Genomic DNA, 18,800 nt, shown 5'->3' with positions numbered 1-18,800 from the left:
TGTTGAGCTCTAGCCACAGAGGGTTGGTTGCCTGGTGCTTGGGAAGGAATTCTTGTGCCCTACAAGTGGCCCTGGCAAAGGCGTGCTCTAACCAGAGACCACTGGGCTGTCAACGCTTGGGGGCGGGTCATGATAAGGGGAAGGTGCAAAATTTGGAAAAAGGAGTTCAGCCCCTGCACGTACCCCACAGTACGAGGAGAGTTTCCTCCAGGGAGAACTGAGGCTGTCAGAGGCCTGCAGAGCATTTCTACCTTCAACGGAGGACCAGGAGAAGCGCCCATCATCTAAAATGTGGGGAACCGCAGGAACCCCTAAACAGAAACCCCGACATACACAGTGGGAGGAGTGGAGGGCACCAACCAGCCCCTCAGAGTCAGCTCCCTACAGAACAGGGTCCCGCCCCTCCACTACTGTATTTAATTCCTCCCAGGGTTTTGACCCATGCAGGTGTCTCAACCGTGAGCACCTCGTGGCTGCGCAGAGCGGGATGGGGCCCAGCGGCCATGGTCAGCATGCGTCCAGGCCTTGCCCCATCCCCAGGCCGCCTGCGCTGACCGTGGCCTGACGCTTGCTCTCTGTCTGCCAGGTTCTCCCCCATGGGCGTCGATCACATGAGCGGGCTCTCTGGCGTCAACGTGCCAGGAAACGCCTCCTCCGGCTGGTGCATTTTCATCTACAACCTGGGGCAGGATGCCGACGAGGGGATCCTCTGGCAGATGTTTGGGCCGTTTGGTGCCGTCACCAATGTGAAAGTGATCCGCGACTTCAACACCAACAAGTGCAAAGGGTTTGGCTTTGTGACCATGACAAACTATGAAGAAGCCGCGATGGCCATAGCCAGCCTGAACGGCTACCGCCTGGGGGACAAAATCTTACAGGTTTCCTTCAAAACCAACAAGTCCCACAAATAACTCGCTCATGCTTTTTTTTGTACGGAATAGATAATTAAGAGTGAAGGAGTTGAAACTTTTCTTGTTAGTGTACAACTCATTTTGCGCCAATTTTCACAAGTGTTTGTCTTTGTCTGAATGAGAAGTGAGAAGGTTTTTATACTCTGGGATGCAACCGACATGTTCAAATGTTTGAAATCCCACAATGTTAGACCAATCTTAAGTTTCGTAAGTTATTTCCTTTAAGATATATATTAAACAGAAATCTAAGTAGAACTGCATTGACTAACCAGTCCCTCTGGATGGTGGTGAACCTGAAGCATGCTTTAACCTCTAAGACTGTCTAACACGCGTTTCATTCAATGTCTCCACAGACTGGGTAGCAAAAAAATCACCTTTTAGTTTTAGTTTTTAATCTAAAGATGTTAGACAGATGCTGAGTGTGCGTTTTCTCAACCGCTTCAACATTGTAAGCGATGTATGCTTTGGTTGACAGGAAGTTCCTTTTCCAGGCAGGTCCCGTTGCCACCTCCTGCTCACTCAGTCCCGGGCTCTGCCGAGTGGTCCTGGGAATGGCGGCGGGCCCGTCCAGCGTGGGCCACCACTGGGGCCGGGGGCCACGGGCTGCATGCTGGGCGGGCCCTCCAGAGAAGGACACAAACGTGTTTCGTAAGCCCAGGCACCAATGGGAATGGACCAAAGAGTTTCAGGGAAACTCCAGTATATTCCAGAGTCAGATCTAAGCTCCAGGCACGCCTGAAGATGTGTTGCTACTCTGACATCCCGAGTTTCTGTCCACACATTGCATGCACAGCGCCCCACACATTGGATACTGTTGTTCACGATAATTTCTCCCGTTTTCCAGAGCATTTAACATAGCTTGGAGGCGTAAAATGGCTCTGTATTTTAATAACACAGAAACATTTGAGCATTGTATTTCTCGCATCCCTTCTCGTGAGCGCTTAGACCTTTTTCTATTTTAGTCGGATTTTGTTTTGGAATTTTGCTTTTGTATGAACACTCAGCAGAAAAGTACTTACTTCTTGCCAGTTATCTATTAACCAAAACCTTTGATTTGTAGTTTTAAAGATTAACCCTCAAAGTTCTCTTCATAACTGCCTTGACATTTTGGGTTGTTCTGTTCTGTTAATTTTCTTTTGCTTTTTTGTGTTTTTTGTTTGTTTTTACTTTTGCATTTAAGACCATTAAATTTGATTTTGTTTTGCTCGAATTTTGTTTTGTTTTTTATTTTACCTTTTCTTTCTTTTTGGCTAGGGAAGGTGCAGGTGGCCCAGCATTCAGGGAGGAGTCGTAAGATCTTAAGAAACCAATCCTTGCCTCAAGCAAAAGCATTTCTGAATCTGTGACGCAAGAATGTGCAGTTACAGGCTGGTGGCTTTTAAACCAGGAGCCCGGAGGAAGGGTGAAAGAGAAAGCCTGTGAAATAGGCAGGGCCAGATCACCCAAAACTCCTCAGGACTGGGATCTGGCGTTTATAAATAACTAGTTTACAGAGAGAATCACAAACAGGATAACTTAGTACCAGCAGTTTTTAACCTTGACGTGAGACTAAAACGTGACCGTAGGCTGTTTTTTAGTTATTGCTCTCATGAGATGATGGCTGTATTTATCTGTTTATTTATACCTATTTATGTATTTATTTATTGAAGTGTGAAATTGAGCAATAGGCAGGCACCACCGTCCCCAGAGCAGGTCAGCGTCTCGAGAGGCCCCTGGACAATTGAGGATGCCCATCCCCTCCCCTTTCCCTGATCTTTTACTGAGGGGCTGTGTGCGCGATCCTTGCAAATTGATGATGTTGCCATCCGTACCCAGGCTGTGTCTCATAAAAGTCGGCCTGGTGCCAGAGAGGACCTCCTTTCTCCCACAGAATCCCAGATCCTCAGGAAAAGCCAAAACCGAGGCCCATTGCCCGGATTCGACACAAAAGAGGGTCCCTGCTCTGTTGCCCGAGAGCAGTCTGCATCCTGGGACCAGAATGCTTTCCTGGAAAAAGAAGCCTTTCAGGTTTCCCTGGGCCAGCATCTTCTGATGGAAGGTGGGAGCCAACACCCTTCTGATGGAAGGTGGGAGCCAACACCCTTCTGATGGAAGGTGGGAGCCAACACCCTTCTGATGGAAGGTGGGAGCCAACACCCTTCTGATGGAAGGTGGGAGCCAACACCCTTCTGATGGAAGGCGGGATTCCCGCTTCTGAAACTCCCCCTGGAGTCTCACTCCCACACATGCCCATAGCTAGCATTCAACAGAGAACTCTGTCTTAAGCTTCAACTGTGAAAATGATGACGGGCTTGTAGCACCTCAGCTTCTTTCCTCGCCCCCTTTTATCTGAATCCTATCAATTATTCTGATGCTGGGACAGGTGAGAAGAAACTGTGAAGTATATGAGCCTTTGAAAGTTCCCTGAAGTTTCTCAGTTCAGGAACATTCTCATTGTATGTGGTCTCCGCTGTTTGAACAGCCTTCTAGCTAAAAAATTCCAAAGCCTTTATTTGGGAGTCTTAGCTTGCAAGCTTGTGGAAGGATTTAGCTTAACAACTGTCACTCCTGAAAAGCAATCTCTGTTCCATCAAGGTTCTAGTTGCTGGCCCTGTGTCCTCAAAGTTCATTACATCTTATCAAGGCCTGTTTGCAAAGGGGAGATCCCTTTTCTTAAAAAAGGCTCAACCCAAAAGAAACCATTTCTTAAAAAATTTTACATAGATCAGTTGTATTTCTATTTAGCAAAAATGAGTGCTCTGCTTTTATTTGGGAATTTCGATGAAAAAGCGTTCAGAGTAGATAATGTTCATTTATCAAAAATCTGGTTTGGGAAATACCAAAGAGGCTTTGATTGAATTCCCTTTTGACCCGTGTGTAACTTCCTCTGGTAGTTAGACCCCAGGCAGCTCCGAATTTGTGAACCTGCTTCCTGATGAATTCTCCCTTGTTCCCCCTTGGCTCTGCCATTATTTCGTTTTCAGTGTAATTTGCCAAGCCGCAGTTTTCTGTGCTGGCTGTGCCTCTAGTCGCAGCTCTGTGACTGATTCCCTCCCGGGTGCTGAGTCCCCTCCCCGGCCACCATCCTGCGTGAATATCCTGAAATTCATGGGCTTCCTCGGGGGCCCGCCCGCAGGTGGTGCTGGGTGGGTTCCGCCACCTTCTCCTGGAAGGTGAGCCTTTTCCTGGCCAAGGGCAGCTGCCTTAACCTCTGAGAGTCTGCGCTTGGCCTTAGTCCTGGAGACCCAGCCTCCAGGGACTGAACCGTGCTGCTGTTGGGAGCCAAGACCGGCCCTTTGGAGCCGGCAGCCCAGGGGTCCCTGCTGGATCAGAGAAATAGAAGCACCCGAAGACGGTTAGTGGCAATTCCTTGACCCGGTTTGCTTCCAAATGAAGGCCATTTGTCCACCAGGCATTGAAAAGACATGACTTACCCAGTCCGGCATCGGACTTGAAAAATCGAAATTGACATCACTCAGCTGTTACATTTCACATCCGATTCAGCCCCCTTTTATTTCCATGTGCTTTTCGCAGCCTTCCTGTGTTGGATGAAAGAGAATAAGAATTCAGCTGACAGGAGGCCTCTATCCTGTCCCTCCACCCCACCCTCCACCTCAATCCCCTCCCATCTTCCCCAGACCTACCTCACCTACTAGGACCTGAGGCAGCTCCTTAGCAGAGACCCCTGGGGTTTAGCTGACTCTGGGGGTCAGGGGTTCCTGTCCCCAAACTTCGCAAGACAGCCCTGAAGTCACAAGTGCTTTCTTTTAAGTGGCATTGGCAATTGGCGTGTAATGATGGCAGTAGAATCTGAATCTCGGATCCCAGGCAGGGTTCACATTTCCAAACCTTTTTGATTTCCCCTGACCTCTAATGGCTGGATCCTATTTTTCTACAACCTTTCAGTGACATCGTTCAGGTTTCTTTCTTGGCCATTTAAAAAAACAAATTTTTTTTTTCTCACTTGTAAGTCACCGCCAGTACCTAAGTTAGGCTAACGGAGACTTTGACAGGACTGGATTTTTCTTCCACCAGAAGAGAAGCCTTTTCCGTTGGTTTGGGGCCACCTCTTTGACCATGACCATGTGATGTTCCGTTTACAGTGACTTGCTTTGGGGGAGGGGAGGCTCTCTTAACCGATTCCCATGTTGTACAGTAGATGGTTAGACCTTTTGTATATTAGTGTGTTTTAAGTTATTGATTTGTTTTATATAAAATAATTTATTTTTCAGGTGCCATTTTTCATTTTAACTTTGTTTTTACATGGGTTTGTTTTCAATAAAGTCTGACACTGGTGTCCAAAAGTCAACAATAAAATGAATCCCATTGTGTTCTTTTGAAGATGCCTATGTAACTTTTAAGCTTTTTAAATTATTTTCAGAAAAAAAAAAAGAAAAGCCCTTATCAGTTTTCCATCAGCCCATTGCCTTTTTATTTTTTTTTTTTAATCCTTGTGAATAAATGTTCTTTAGTGTTTTAGGAGGAAAAAGCAAACCTAGATTTTGATAACCCAGAAGACTTCAGATTAATAAAGAAGCTTTGAAAGAAGACCATTTTTCAAAATTTTAGTGAAGTGTGAATATTTTTTGTCAATGGCTTTCTCAAAGAGAATGAAACTTTTGCACCATTTTCAGAGTTTTTATAGAGATGCCAAATTGATATATTTACATGTAATGGAAACATGAAAAAGTTTTATTAAACAATTGTTCATAGCTGTGTAGACATTTTAATTCAGTTTCCAAAGCTCTCAAAAAATCGTATTTTTGAAGTACGGAGTGATGCGGTTTGGGGCGTGGCTTACAGTTCCAACGACTCAATTGTCCCGATACTCAGTTCTTTCTACAGGTATCAGGTTCGTGTTAAACGCTGTATGTTAACTATGACTGGAATTCTGTGATATTTTGGTAATAAATGAAGTGGGATCATTGCGATGTGCTGGTGTAGGGGTGATGGTGTATGACTTGTGAGCAGCCCACAGCCCAGTAATAGAGTGCCAGGGGATGGGGACCTCTTCCCTCCGAGGTAAGCCTGTGCCAGGTCCCGGGAGCCCACGAGGGGACACCCAGTTCGGGTGTGCCCTGTGCTGGCTGACCCACGGCCCTTCAGCTCCCACCCAGATGCCCCTCTTCTCCAGGTTCACAGGTCAGTGGGCCCACCGAGTGGCCCCTGGGTATGGCCCCCCTCCATCTGCTTCCCACACCAGTGCTCCCCCAACAGTGACCCGGGGATCCTGCCTCTTCCCTCGTCTGTATGTGGAACCATAGTCACTCCCGAGCCCTGGGGCCATCCTCAGTGTCCCCTCCGTGAGACTGATCTCCTTTGTCTCCTTTGGGATGGGAATGGTTAGGGGTCTCAAGGTCAGAGAGTCCAGGTTCAAATCCTGGCTCTGACACCACTCCCCAGCGTGCCACCCAGGGGAAAGTCCCTGGCTCTCTTGAGTCTCCGCTCTACCCTCTGTGAAATGGGTCCACGCTGCCCACCCCCTCCAGATCCTCAGGAAAATGAGATCAAGTAGGGATGGTGACAGTTGCTACCAAGAATCAGCCAAGGACTGGATGGTCGCGCCCAGCACCCAGAGAGCTGAGCTAACATGGGCCCGCAGCCCGGTCTCTCGGAAAGCATTTACGGAGCCCGTTTTCAAGTTGCTAGTTTCTCTATTGCTTGTGTGTCTTGTGGGTCTGTGTTCATCACCTTCTCTTCCAGACGTGACTAAATGATCCCTCGGCTTCCAGGAAAAACCCATGTTGTCTGACACCACCTGGGGCCAAAGGGCCAGGGCTGTGCTCCAGCCAGAGCCCTGACAGCGCTCGGGGCCATCCCCCAGGTGTTCAGACCCCAGGGGCCGACAGCTGGGGCTCCTGCGGCCTCTGGGCAGCTCCACTGGCTCAGGCTAATGGATCTCCTGACCGCCCCACCTGTGAACCCAGGAGAAAGGGTCCGGGCGTCTGCGCCTCCCAAACTTAAGAATGCATCTGCCTCCCATGGGGGAGCATCATTTCAAAGCAGATTCGTCTTCTGCAGGTCTGGTGTGGGCCTGGGAATCTGCATTTCTTTCTTTCTTTCTTTCCTTTCTTCCTTCCTTCCTTCCTTCCTTCCTTCCTTCCTTCCTTCCTTCTTTCTTTCTTTCTTTCTTTCTTTCTTTCTCTCTTTCTCTCTTTCTCTCTTTCTCTCTCTCTCTCTTTCTTTCTTTTCTTTCTTGACAGAGTCTCGCTCTGTTGCCCAGGCTGGAGTGCACTGCCGCGATCTCGGCTCACTACAACCTCCACCTTCTGGGCTCAAGCAATTCTGCTTCAGCCACCCGAGCAACTGGGATTACAGGCCCACGCCACCTGGCTAATTTTTGTATTTTTAGTAGAGACGGGGTTTCACCATGTTGGCCAGGCTGGCCTCAAACTCCTGACCTCAGGTGATCTGCCCTCCTCAGCCTCCCAAAGTGCTGGGAGTACAGGCGTGAGCCACGGCGCCTGGCCTGAGAACCTGTATTTCTCCCTGGTGACGCCAGTGTCAGACTCACCGTGAGAAGCAAGAAGTTTAGAAGAGTCCCCTGTGTGGGACGAACCTTAATGAAACCTGACAGCCCCCATCTCCACCTCTGCTCCAGGGATGGCTTCCATCCCTGCCTCACCCCAGAATTCAGAGCCCAAGAGGCCCAGTGAGGCGCCTGTGCATGGCAGGCAACACTTGCGTTCCACCAGACCTCTCCAGACCCCTGCCTCTATGGGGACTAGTTTCATTGCTCCCTTCAAGGTCAAGGGTCTGAGGCATGCATCCTTTTGTCCTTGGGTTTTGCGTGTGTGTGTTTCAACCTCAGTAATTTCTTAGCACAATTTAAAAGGATTTCTGGAAGAGAAGGAGAAACAGATGCCTGCGTTGTCTGGAGAACCACGGTTTGTGTTTAGTCATACGAGAGCCAAGCTGTGACATGAGAGTGTTTTTATTGGGGTGGGGGGGAGCGCAGCGAATCTCACCCTCTGCTGTCCCTGATCCTCTGCCACAACAACTTCAGGAAGCCTTTTTTTTTTTTTTTTTTTTTTTTTGAGATGGAGTCTTGCCCTGTCGCCCAGGCTGGACTTCAGTGGCGCGATCTCAACTCACTGCAACCTCCACCTCCCCAGTTCAAGCAATTCTCCTGCCTCAGCCTCCCGAGTAGCTGGGATTACAAGCGCACACCACCACGCCCGGCTAATTGTTTGTCTTTTTAGTAGAGATGGGGTTCACCATATTGGCCAGGCTGGTCCCGAACTCCTGATCTCAGGTGATTGTCCCACCTCGGCCTCCCAAAGTGCTGGGATCACAGGTGTGAGCCACCCACCTCACCTGGCCAGGAAACCATCTTGACGTCCCACAGCAGCCCTGTGGACGAGGGAGCGCTGGTCCCAGGTTAAGGGCTTAAACATGTTCTACTCCACCCAGAAGGGCCCACCCACTGGGCAGCAGGGAGAACAGACCGGGCACGCCTGCCCCACACAGTAGGGGTGCTGAATGCCTGGACGCTCTGGGCAGCAGGGGCAGGGCCCTTAAGGGAGTGACGTTGGAACAGGAAGGACCCAATAGTGAATGTTAGCTTTTTGCGTTACACAGTACTTTACCGTTCATGCACCTATTTCACAGATGACACAGCAGAACTTGGCGGATTGGAAAACACGCTGTGCTGGTGATTATTTTCTTAGTTTGGCGTAGAGCATCCTGGCTTTCGGCCGCCCCCTTAGTTTTGTGCCTCTGAACTATCTGTTTCAGGGTTTAGACATGGATGGAAAGTTGAGGGTGGGTAGGAGGCTGAGTACTGCCTGCATGACCTGCAGGGGTAGACAGGGCTCAGGGGCTCAGGATCAGACACCAGGGGGCCTGGACACCCCCCATGCTCTCACCACAGGCCTTGCGGCCACCCCCAACCAAGCAAGGAAATCCACCCCCCGAGCTCCTCCAAGGAGAAGAGACGGCTCCCGATCCCCGCCTCACCCCAGAATTCAGAGCCCGAGAGGCCCAGCCCCAAGCCAGGGCCCTGTGTGTTGTGGGGGACGTTCGAGTTCCACCAGTCCCCTCTGGACCCCCGCCTCTGGGGGGGGGCTATTTCCATTGCTCCCTTCAAGGTCAAGGGTCTGAGGCCTGCATCCTTTTTTCCCTGGGCTTTGTGTGTGTCTTTCAACCTCAGTAATTTCTTAGCACAATTTAAAAGGATTTCTGGAAGAGAAGGAGAAACCTAGACACCTGCGTTGTCCGGAGAACCACTGTTTGTGTTTAGTAATAGCCGAGTTCTGACATGAGAGTGTTTTCGCTGGGGGGCAAGGGGCAGGGAGAGCGCGGTTTCCCTCCCACCTCAGTGTCCTCAGAGCCTGAGGAGTTCTCAGCAACCTGTCCTGAGAACTGGTATGAGGAGGGAGGATCGCCTGAGCTCAGGAGTTCAAAACCAGCCTGGGCAACATCATGAGAGCCTATCTCTATAAAAAATGTAAAAATGAGGCCGGGCACAATGGTTCACACCTGTAATCCCAGCACTTTGGGAGGCTGAGGTGGGCAGATCACCCGAGGTCAGGAGTTCGAGACCAGCCTGCCCAACATGGTGAAACCCTGTCTCTACTAAAAATACAAAAATTAGCTGGGCGTGGTGGTGTGTGCCTGTAGTCCCAGCTACTTGGGAGGCTGAGGCAGGAGAATCGCTTAAACCTGGGAGGTGGAGGGTGCAGTGAGCCCAGATCATGTCACTGCACTCCAGCCTGGGTGACAGAGCAAGACGCTATTAAAAAAAAAAAAAAAAAAAAGCCAGGCACAGTGGCTCACGCCTGTAATCCCAGCACTTTGGGAGGCTGAGATGGGCAGATCACCTGAGGTCAGGAGTTCAAGACCAGCCTGGCCAACATAGTGAAACCCCGTCTCTACTAAAAATACAAAAATTAGCCGAGCGTGGTGGCGGGCGCCTGAAACCCCAGCTACCTGGGAGGCTGAGGCAGGAGAATCGCTTGAACTCGGGAGGCAGAGGTTGCAGTGAGTCGAGTTCACGCCATTGCATTCCAGCCTGGGCAACAAGAACAAGACTCTCTCTCAAAGAAAAAAAAAAAGGCCGGGAGTGGTGACATGCACCTGTATTCCCAGCTACTTGGGAGGCTGAGGTAACAGGATCACTTGAGCCCAGGAGTTCGAGGCTGCAATCAGCTAGAAAAGAAAAAAAAGGAAAGGAAAAATGTGCAGGGCCTGTTGGTCGAAGATGACTAAGAATTTCAAAATTGTTACTGGGCGTGGTGGCTCACGCCTGTAATCCCAGCACTTTGGGAGGCCAAGGCAGGTGGATCATGAGGTCAGGAGTTCAAGACCAGCCTGGCCAACATGGTGAAACCTGGTCTCTACTAAAAATACAAAGATTTAGCTGGGCGTGGTGGTGTGCGCCTGTAATCCCAGCTACTTGGGAGGCTGGTGGCGTGCGCCTGTAATCCCAGCTACTCGAGAGGCTGAGGCAGGAGAATCACTTGAACCTGAGAGGCAGAGGTTGCAATGAGCCAAGATCGCACCACTGCACTCCAGCCTGGGTGACAGAGCAAAATTCCGTCTCAAAAAAAGAAAAAGAATTTCAAAATGGCAACAGAAAGCATTAACCCAAGCCGGGGGCCCTTGAGCACCTGCCAACCTCCCCTGCACTCCCTCCGCCTCCAGGGCAGCCTCCTCCCCCCAGGGTCCCTCCCGGTAGCTGCTGAAGGCCTGGCTGGGGAATTCTCTCCCAAATACCTGATGCAATCGAGTCTCCGCTCAGAATTTTTCAGTTCATCTTAGGACTTCTTGTAGACCGTGGCCTTTCACCTTCATTGCAAGGATGGCATTTTGTCTGTTTGGTTTTCTTACAGTGAGGGATGTTAATGCTGGGGGATGGTGGAGGAAGAGGAAGAGGAGGATGGGGAGGAGGGGGAGGAGAGGAAGGAGAGGGGAGGGGGAGGAGAGAAGGAGGAGGAGGGGGAAGGAGGAGAGGGAGGAGGGGGATGAGAGGAAGGAGGGGGAGAAGGAGGAGAGGAGGGGGAGGGGGAGGAGGAGGGGGAAGGAGGAGAGGGAGGAAGAGGAGGAGAAGGAGGAGGAGGAGAGGAGGGGGAGGAGGGGGAGGAGGAGGAGGAGAGGAGGGGGAGGAGGAGGGGGAAGGAGGTGAGGGAGGAAGAATAGGAGAGAGGAGGAGGAGAGGGAGGAAGAGGAGGAGGAGAGAGAGAAGGGGGAGGAGGAGAAGGAGAGGGAGGAGGAGGTGGAGGAGGAGAGGTAGGAGGAATGGAATGGCAGCTGGCCGAGGGCCCGTGGAGTGAGTGGGGCATGGGTAAGGAGAGGAAATTGCAGCTGAGAGAGCCAGCGCATGGTGGGAGGAGAGGAAGCAGGCCTGGGCAAGGCCACTGAATCAGGCTCCTTTCCAGTTGACAGAACCTAGGATAAGAGATTGGGGGAAGGGTGCACCTAGGAAGGGGCAGTTGACAAGGGGAGGTATGACAGGACAGGCCCCAGTGCCAGTTTCTATCAAGTCAAGCCTCATGGAGACAGGCCTGCGGGTCCTCAGCGAAAGCCACGGATCCCCCAACCCACAGCCCGTGGCCGGCCAGTGGCCAGCGTCAAAGAGCTGGGGATGTCGAGACCGTGGAAATAGCCTGTAATGGACCTGGGACCTCTCAGGAGAGATGCCCGAACTGCCCCGGTAGGGCTAAGGGCCTCCGGAAAGTCGGGAATCCAGGCAGGAGGAAATGATGCCTTGGCCACAGCCCGTTTTGAATTTTTTTAGAGACAGTGTCTCACACTGTGTCACCCAGGCTAGAGTGGACAGCATCATAGCTCACTGCAGCCTTGACTTCCCGGGCTCAAGCGATCCTCCTACCTCAGCCTCCTGAGTACGTGGGACTACAGGTATATGCCACCACACCCTGCTATTTATTTTATTTTATTACTGTATTTTAATTCTTTTTTTTTTTTTTTTTTTTGACACGCAGTCTCACTCTGTTGCCCAGGCTGGAATGCAGTGTCACAAACTCGGCTCACTGCAACCTCCGCCACCTGGGTTCAAGCAATTCTCTGCCTCAGCCTCCTGAGGAGCTGGGACTACAGGCACCCACCACCACGCCCAGCTAATTTTTGTATTTTTAGTAGAGACGGGGTTTCACCATCTTGGCCAGGCTGCTCTTGAACTCCTGACCTCGTGATCCACCTGCCTCGGCCTCCCAAAGTGCTGGGATTACAGGCGTGAGCCACCGTGCCGGGCTTCTATTTTAATTTTTGAGACAGGGTCTCCCTCTGTCGCCTAGGCTGGAGTGCGATGGTGCAATCACAGCCCACTGTAGCCTCGAACGCCTGGGCTCAATCACTCCTCCCACTTCAGCTTCCTGAGTAGCTGGGACCACAGGCATGTGCCACCATGCCCAGGTGACAGATTATCTTTTACATGCTAGCTGCGTGGCCCTGGGCATCCCCCTTCCTCTCTGGAAGCCTTGGGTGCTGCATCGCTTTGGTATAAGAGAGCTAATGATAGCTCCTGCCTCCCAGGGTTACCGGGTTGGTGTTAATAAGATACGGCCTCTGATGGCCAGGAACACACTTTGGCACAGAGGAGACAGGCACTAGTGCCAGCAGCTATAATTATACCTCGAGAAGGAGAACCGGAGATGGAGGAGTCCGCTGGGTAGAAGGTACAGAAGTGGAAAGGAAGCCAGACAGAAGGCAGACAGATGGCAGAGGCCTGCACGCAACAGCCAATGCGAGTGGGTGGGGGCTGGGAGCCAGAGGGAAGAGGCTGAGGGGCACCTGCATTGGTTTGCTCGGCCTGCAGGTAACAGAGCACCCAGACCGCGTGGCTTAAGTAGTAGAAATGCATTGCCTCACAGTCCTGGAGGCTGGAAGTTTGAGATCAAGGTGACAGCAGGGTCTCTTTCTTCTGAGGCCTCTCTCCTTGGCTTGCAGATGGCCGTCTTCTCGTGTCTTCCCACAGTCATCCCTCTGTGTGTATCTGTGTCCTAATCTCCACTTCCTTTTTTGCAGAGGGGACAAAGTCTCACTCTGTCACCCGAGCTGGAGTGCAGTGGCGTGATCTTGGCTCACTGCAACCTACATATCCCAGGTTCAAGTGATTCTCCTGCCTCAGCCTCCAGAATAGCTGGGACTACAGGCGCCCGCCACCACGCCCGGCTAATTTTTGTACTTTTAGTAGAGATGGGGTTTCACTATGTTGGCCAGGCTGGTCTTGTACTCCTGACCTTGTGATCCGCCCACCTCAGCCTCCCAAAGTGCTGGGATTACAAGTTTGAGCCACCGCACCCGGCTGATCTCTGCTTCGTTTGTTCATTTGTTTGTTTTGTTTGTTTTTGAGATGGAGTTTTCCTCTTGTTACCCAGGCTGGAGTGCAATGGCACGATCTCAGCTCACTGCAACCTCCGCCTCCTGAGTTCAAGCAATTCTCCTGCCTCAGACTCCTGAGTAGCTGGGATTACAGGCGTGAGCCACCACGCCCAGCTAATTTTGTATTTTTAGTAGAGACAGGGTTTCTCCGTGTTGCTCAGGCTGGTCTCGAACTCCCAACCTCAGTGATACGCCCGCCTCAGCCTCCCAAAGTGCTGGGATTGCAGACGTGAGCCACCGCACCCGGCCCAATCTCTGCTTCTTATAAGGACACCGGTTTTTCTGGATTAGGGCTCATACCCTAATAACCTCATTGTAATGTATTTATTTATTTATTTATACTTTTATTTTACTTATTTATTTTTATTTGAGACAGAGTCTCACTCTGTTACCCAGGCTGGAGTGCAGTGGTGCGATCTTGGCTCACTGCAAGCTCCGCCTCCCGGGTTCATGCCATTCTCCTGCCTCAGCCTCCCGAGTAGCTGGGACTACAGGTGCCCGCCACTACGCCCAGCTAATTTTTTGTGTTTTTAGTAAAGACGGGGTTTCACCGTGTTAGCCACGATGGTCTTGATCTCCTGACCTCTTGATCCACCCGCCTCAGCCTCCCAACGTGCTGGGATTACAGGCGTGAGCCACTGTGCCTGGCCTCTATTTTTGTTTTTTGAGACGGAGTCTCTCTCTGTTGCTGAGGCTGGAGTGCAGTGGTGCGATCTAAGCTTACTGCAACCTCCGCTTTCCAGGTTCAAGTGATTCTCCTGACTCAGCCTCCCGAGTAGCTGGGACTACGGACACCCGCCACCACACCCGGCTAATTTTTGTATTTTTAGTAGAGACACGTTTTAACCATGTTGGCCAGGCTGGCCTTGAACTCCTGACGTCAAGCGATCCACCCACCTTAGCCTCCCAAAGTGCTGGGATTACAGGCAAGGGCCACCACACCCGGCCCCATTGTACTTTAGTTACCTGGAGTGCAGTGGTGCAATCACTGCAGCCTCTCACTCCTGGGCTCAAGCAATCCTCCCACCTCAGCCTCCTGAGTAGCTGGGACCAACAGCCACTCTCTACCACACCTGGCTAATTTTTTTGTGTTTTTTTTTTGTAGAGACGGAGTTTCACTGTGTTGCCCAGGCTATTCTCGAACTCCTGGGTTCAAGCAATCCTCCCAAAGTACTGGGATTACAGGTGTGAGCCACCGTGCCCTGCCTATTTTTAATTTTAGTGGGTACGTAGTAGGTGTATATACTTATGGTCTACAGGACATATGTTGATACAGGCATACGATGTATAATAATCACATCACAGTAGCCGGGCACGGTGGCTCACGCCTGTAACCCCAGCACTTTGGGAGGCCGAGGTGGGTGGATCACCCAAGGTCAGGAGTTCAAGACCAGCCTGACCAACATGGGGAAACCCCATCTCTACTAAAAATACAAAAATTAGCCAGGCGTGGTGGTGGTTGCCTATAATCCCAGTTACTCGGGAGGCTGAGGCAGGAGAATCGCTGGAACCCGGGAGAAGGAGGTTGCAGTAAGCCGAGATCGCGCCACTGCACTCCAGCCTGGGCAACAGAATGAGGCTCCGTGTCAACGACAACAAAAACAAAAATTTTGCTAAGAGAGTAGATCTCACATTAAGTGTGCTTTGGTTTTTTGTTTTTGTTTAAGACAGGGGTCTGCATCATCTGGGCCATAGACTGGTACCTGTCTGTGGCCTGTTAGGAACTGGGCCGCAGAGCAGGAGGTGAGCAGGCAGGCAGTGAGCAGGCAGGCAGCAAAGCTTCATCTGTATTTACAGCCGCTCCCCATCACTGGAGCCTCCTGTAAGATCAGCAGCGGCATTAGATTCTCATAGGAGTGCAAACTGTTAGGAATAACGCTTAAAATTTTAAGGAAATTGAACACTTGAACGAAGAATTTTTAGCAAAGTAATTTATTTTTGTGCAGGGGGGTGTTTTTTTGGCCAGTTGTTATGAGTATACTTGAACAAAGGGGCACGAGAGCCTTTATTTTTGATGCAAGTTTTGTTTTTGTACCCTTTTTTATTGGCTGGGGTCGGGTTGTATAATTTAAACTAATTTTGGTTGGCTAAACATTTGATCTTTTTTTTTTTTTTTTTCTGAGACAGAGTCTTGCTCTGTTGCCCAGGCTGGAGTGCAGTGGCGCGATCTTGGCTCACTGCAAGCTCTGCCTCCCGGGTTCACGCCATTCTCCTGCCTCAGCCTCCCGAGTAGCTGGGACCACAGGCGCCTGCCACCATGCCTGGCTAATTTTTGTATTTTTAGTAGAGATGGGGTTTCACCGTGTTAGCCAGGATGGTCTTGATCTCCTGACCTCGTGATCCGCCCGCCTCGGCCTCCCAAAGTGCTGGGATTACAGGCGTGAGCCACTGCGCCTAGCCAATATTTTTAAAATTTTTTTGAGATGGAGTCTCACTCTGTCACCCAGGCTGGAGAGCAGTGGCAGGATCCTGGGTCACTGCAACCTCCACCTCCTGGGCTCAAGTGAGTCTTCTGCCTCAGCCTCCCGAGTGGCTGGGTTACAGACGTGCGCCACCATGCCCGGCTAATTTTTGTTTTTGTTTTTTTGTTTTGTTTTGTTTTGTTTGTAGAGACGCAGTTTCACCATGTTGGCTAGACTGGTCTCGAACTCCTGACCACAGATGATCCGCCCATCTCGGCCTCCCAAAGTGCAGAGATTACAGGTGTGAGCCACCGTGCCCAGCCTCGTATACTATTCTTGCAATTTTTTTTTTGTAGCTTTGAAATTTTGCAAAATAAAAAGTTGGGGAAAACAAAGCACTCTCGCTCCTTCCCATATGTTCTTCCAGCTGCCATCATTTCACCTTCTGTGCACAGTGAATATTCCTGGGAAGAGTCTGTGTTCTGTGTCCCAGTATTCTCAACCACCGCTGTGCTGGTGAAATGTTTAATAACTGGCTCACCAGAGAAACAAACCAACCAAAGAGCTCCTGACTTGGAATGTCTGCCAATTCCTGTGGTGTAAATACTCCCACCACTTGTGGCTGATCTGCTTGTAGGTGATTTCAAGCTACAAAGATGGCATCATCAAACAGAACTGGTACACAATGCAGTGACTCACATAATATAGTATTTCCAGCACGCAGACATCATATATGTAAATAACCCCAAGATAAGCCAGGTGCAGTGGCTCATGCCTGTAACCCCAGCACTTTGGGAGGCCGAGGTGGGAGGATCGAGTGAGCCCAGGGGTTTGAGACCAGCCTAGGCAACATAGCAAGACTCTGTCTCTACAAAAAGATTATTTATTTACTTATTTGAGACAGAGTCTCGCTGTGTCACTCAGGCTAGAATGCAGTGGTGCAATCTTGGCTCACTGCAACCTCTGCCTCCCAGGTTCAAGCAATTCTGCTGCCTCAGCCTCCCTTCTGAGTAGCTGGGATTACAGGCATGCACCACCACATCTGGCTAATTTTTGTATTTTTAATAGAGACGGGGTTTCACCATATTGGCTGGGCTGGTCTCAAACTCCTGGCCTAAAGTGATCCACCCACCTCGGCCTCCCAAAGTGCTGGGATTATAGGTGTGAGCCACTGCACCCAGCCTGTCTCTACAAAAAATTTTAAAAAGTAGCCAGGCTCTGTGGCTTGTGCTGGTCATCCCAGCACTTTGGGAGGTCAAGGTGGGAGGATCGCTTGAGCCCAGGAGTTCGAGATCAGCCCGTGCAACGTAGAGAGACCCTGTCTCTACAAAAAAATACAAAAATCAGCTGGGCGTGATGGTGCATGTCTGTAGTCCCAGCTACTCGGGAGGCTGAGGTGGGAGGATCACTTGAGCCTGGAAGGTCGAGGCTACAGTGAGCCGTGCTGGTGCCACTGCACTCCTATCTGGGCGATAGAGTGAGACTGTCTCAAAACAAAAACAAAAACCCTCAAGAGCACAGATAGTAGTAACATGTAGCAGCATAATTAGGAAGTGATGAATTTTGCATTATTACTTTTGTTCTAATATAATCTATTTGATCTTAAGTTTATACAATTAATTGTTTACATATTGGCCATGTTTAACAAGAGGCTTTGAATTCTTGAAGATGTGCCGGCTGGCTCTTGCGAGTCAGTGCAAGCTGGCCCCAGCATGCCTCTGTAAAACCATCTCCACTCACTGAAATCTGGCTCCCAGGCCCACCACTCACCCAAAACCCCTCTTGCTTATCTCACCAATGACCTCCATATTGCAAAATGCAATGGCGGTGGCTACATTTCTGTCCTTGCCTTGCCTGAACTGTGCAGCACTCGCCTCTGCTGTTTCCATCTGCCTTCTCCAAGTTCCTCCAGATTGTCTTCCTTTTTTTTTTTTTTTTTGATGGAGTCTTGCTCTGTCGCCCAGGCTGGAGTGCAGTGGTGTGATCTCAGCTCACTGTAACCTCCACCTCTTGGGTCCAAGCGATTCTCCTGCCTCAGCTTCCCAAGTAGTTGGGACTACAGGCACTTGCCACCACGCCCGGCTAATTTTTTGTATTTTTAGTAGAGATGGGGGTTCACCATGTTAGCCAGGATGGTCTTGATCCCCTGACCTCATGATTTGCCCATCTCGGCCTCCCACAGTGCTGAGCGCAGTGGCACACGCCTGTAATCCCAGCAATTTGGGAGGCCAAGGCAGGTGGATCACGAGGTCAGGACTCGAGACTAGCACGGCCAAGATGGTGAAACCCCGTCTCTACTAAAAATACAAAAATTATCCGGGTATGGTGGCGGGCGCCTGTAGTCCCAGCTACTCGGGAGGCTGAGGCAGGAGAATGCCATGAACCTGGGAGGTGGAGCTTGCAGTGAGCCGAGATCACGCCACTGCACTCCAGCCTGGGTGACAGACTGAGACTCAGTCTCAAAACAACGACAACAACAAAAAATTGTTTTTTAGAGATGGAGGTCTCGAGGGGGCATGGTGGCTCATGCCTGTAATCCCAGCATTTTGGGAGGCTGAGGTGGGAGGATCACCTGAGGTTCAGGAGTTCGAGACCAGCCTGACCAATATGGAGAAACCCCGTCTCTACTAAGAACACAAAATTAGCTGGGTGTGGTGGCACATGCCTGTAATCCCAGCTACTTGGGAGGCTGAGGCAGGAGAATCACTTGAACCTGGGAAGCAGAGGCTGCGGTGAGCCAAGATCGCGCCATTGCACTCCAGCCTGCGCAACAAGAGTAAAACTCCATCTCAAAAAAAAAAAGGCCGGGTGTGGTGGCTCACGCCTGTAATCCCAGCACTTTGGGAGGCCGAGGCAAGCGGATCACGAGGTCAGGAAATCGAGTCCATCCTGGCTAACATGGTGAAACCCTGTCTCTACTAAAAATACAAAAAATTAGCTGGGTGTGGTGGCAGGCACATGTAGTCCCAGCTACTCGGGAGGCTAAGGCAGGAGAATGGTGTGAACCTGGGAGGCGGAGCTTGCAGTGAGCCAAGATCGTGCCACTGCACTCCAGCCTGGGCGACAGAGTGAGACTCTGTCTCAAAACAACAAAAAAAGAGATGGAGGTCTCATGCTGTCACCCAGGGTGGAGTGCAGTGGGTGATCATAGCTCACTGCAGCCTCT

General features: G+C 50.7%; 1 protein-coding gene across 3 annotated transcripts in view; it reads left to right on the top strand.

Moving 5' to 3' along the window:
• ELAVL1 (ELAV like RNA binding protein 1) overlaps positions 1 to 5,821 on the top strand; it is a 47,069-nt gene extending 41,248 nt beyond the window's left edge. For all 3 annotated transcript variants that reach the window (NM_001419.3, XM_047438384.1, XM_047438383.1), the window contains one exon: positions 587 to 5,821. In NM_001419.3, the coding sequence (NP_001410.2) occupies positions 587 to 911 (325 nt within the window). In that variant the 3' untranslated portion in view covers positions 912 to 5,821. The remainder of the gene's footprint in view (positions 1 to 586) is intronic.

Source organism: Homo sapiens, chromosome 19, assembly GCF_000001405.40.
Source record: "Homo sapiens chromosome 19, GRCh38.p14 Primary Assembly".
Taxonomy (NCBI): Eukaryota; Metazoa; Chordata; class Mammalia; order Primates; family Hominidae; genus Homo; species Homo sapiens.
This window is presented reverse-complemented; position numbering and strand designations above follow the sequence as displayed.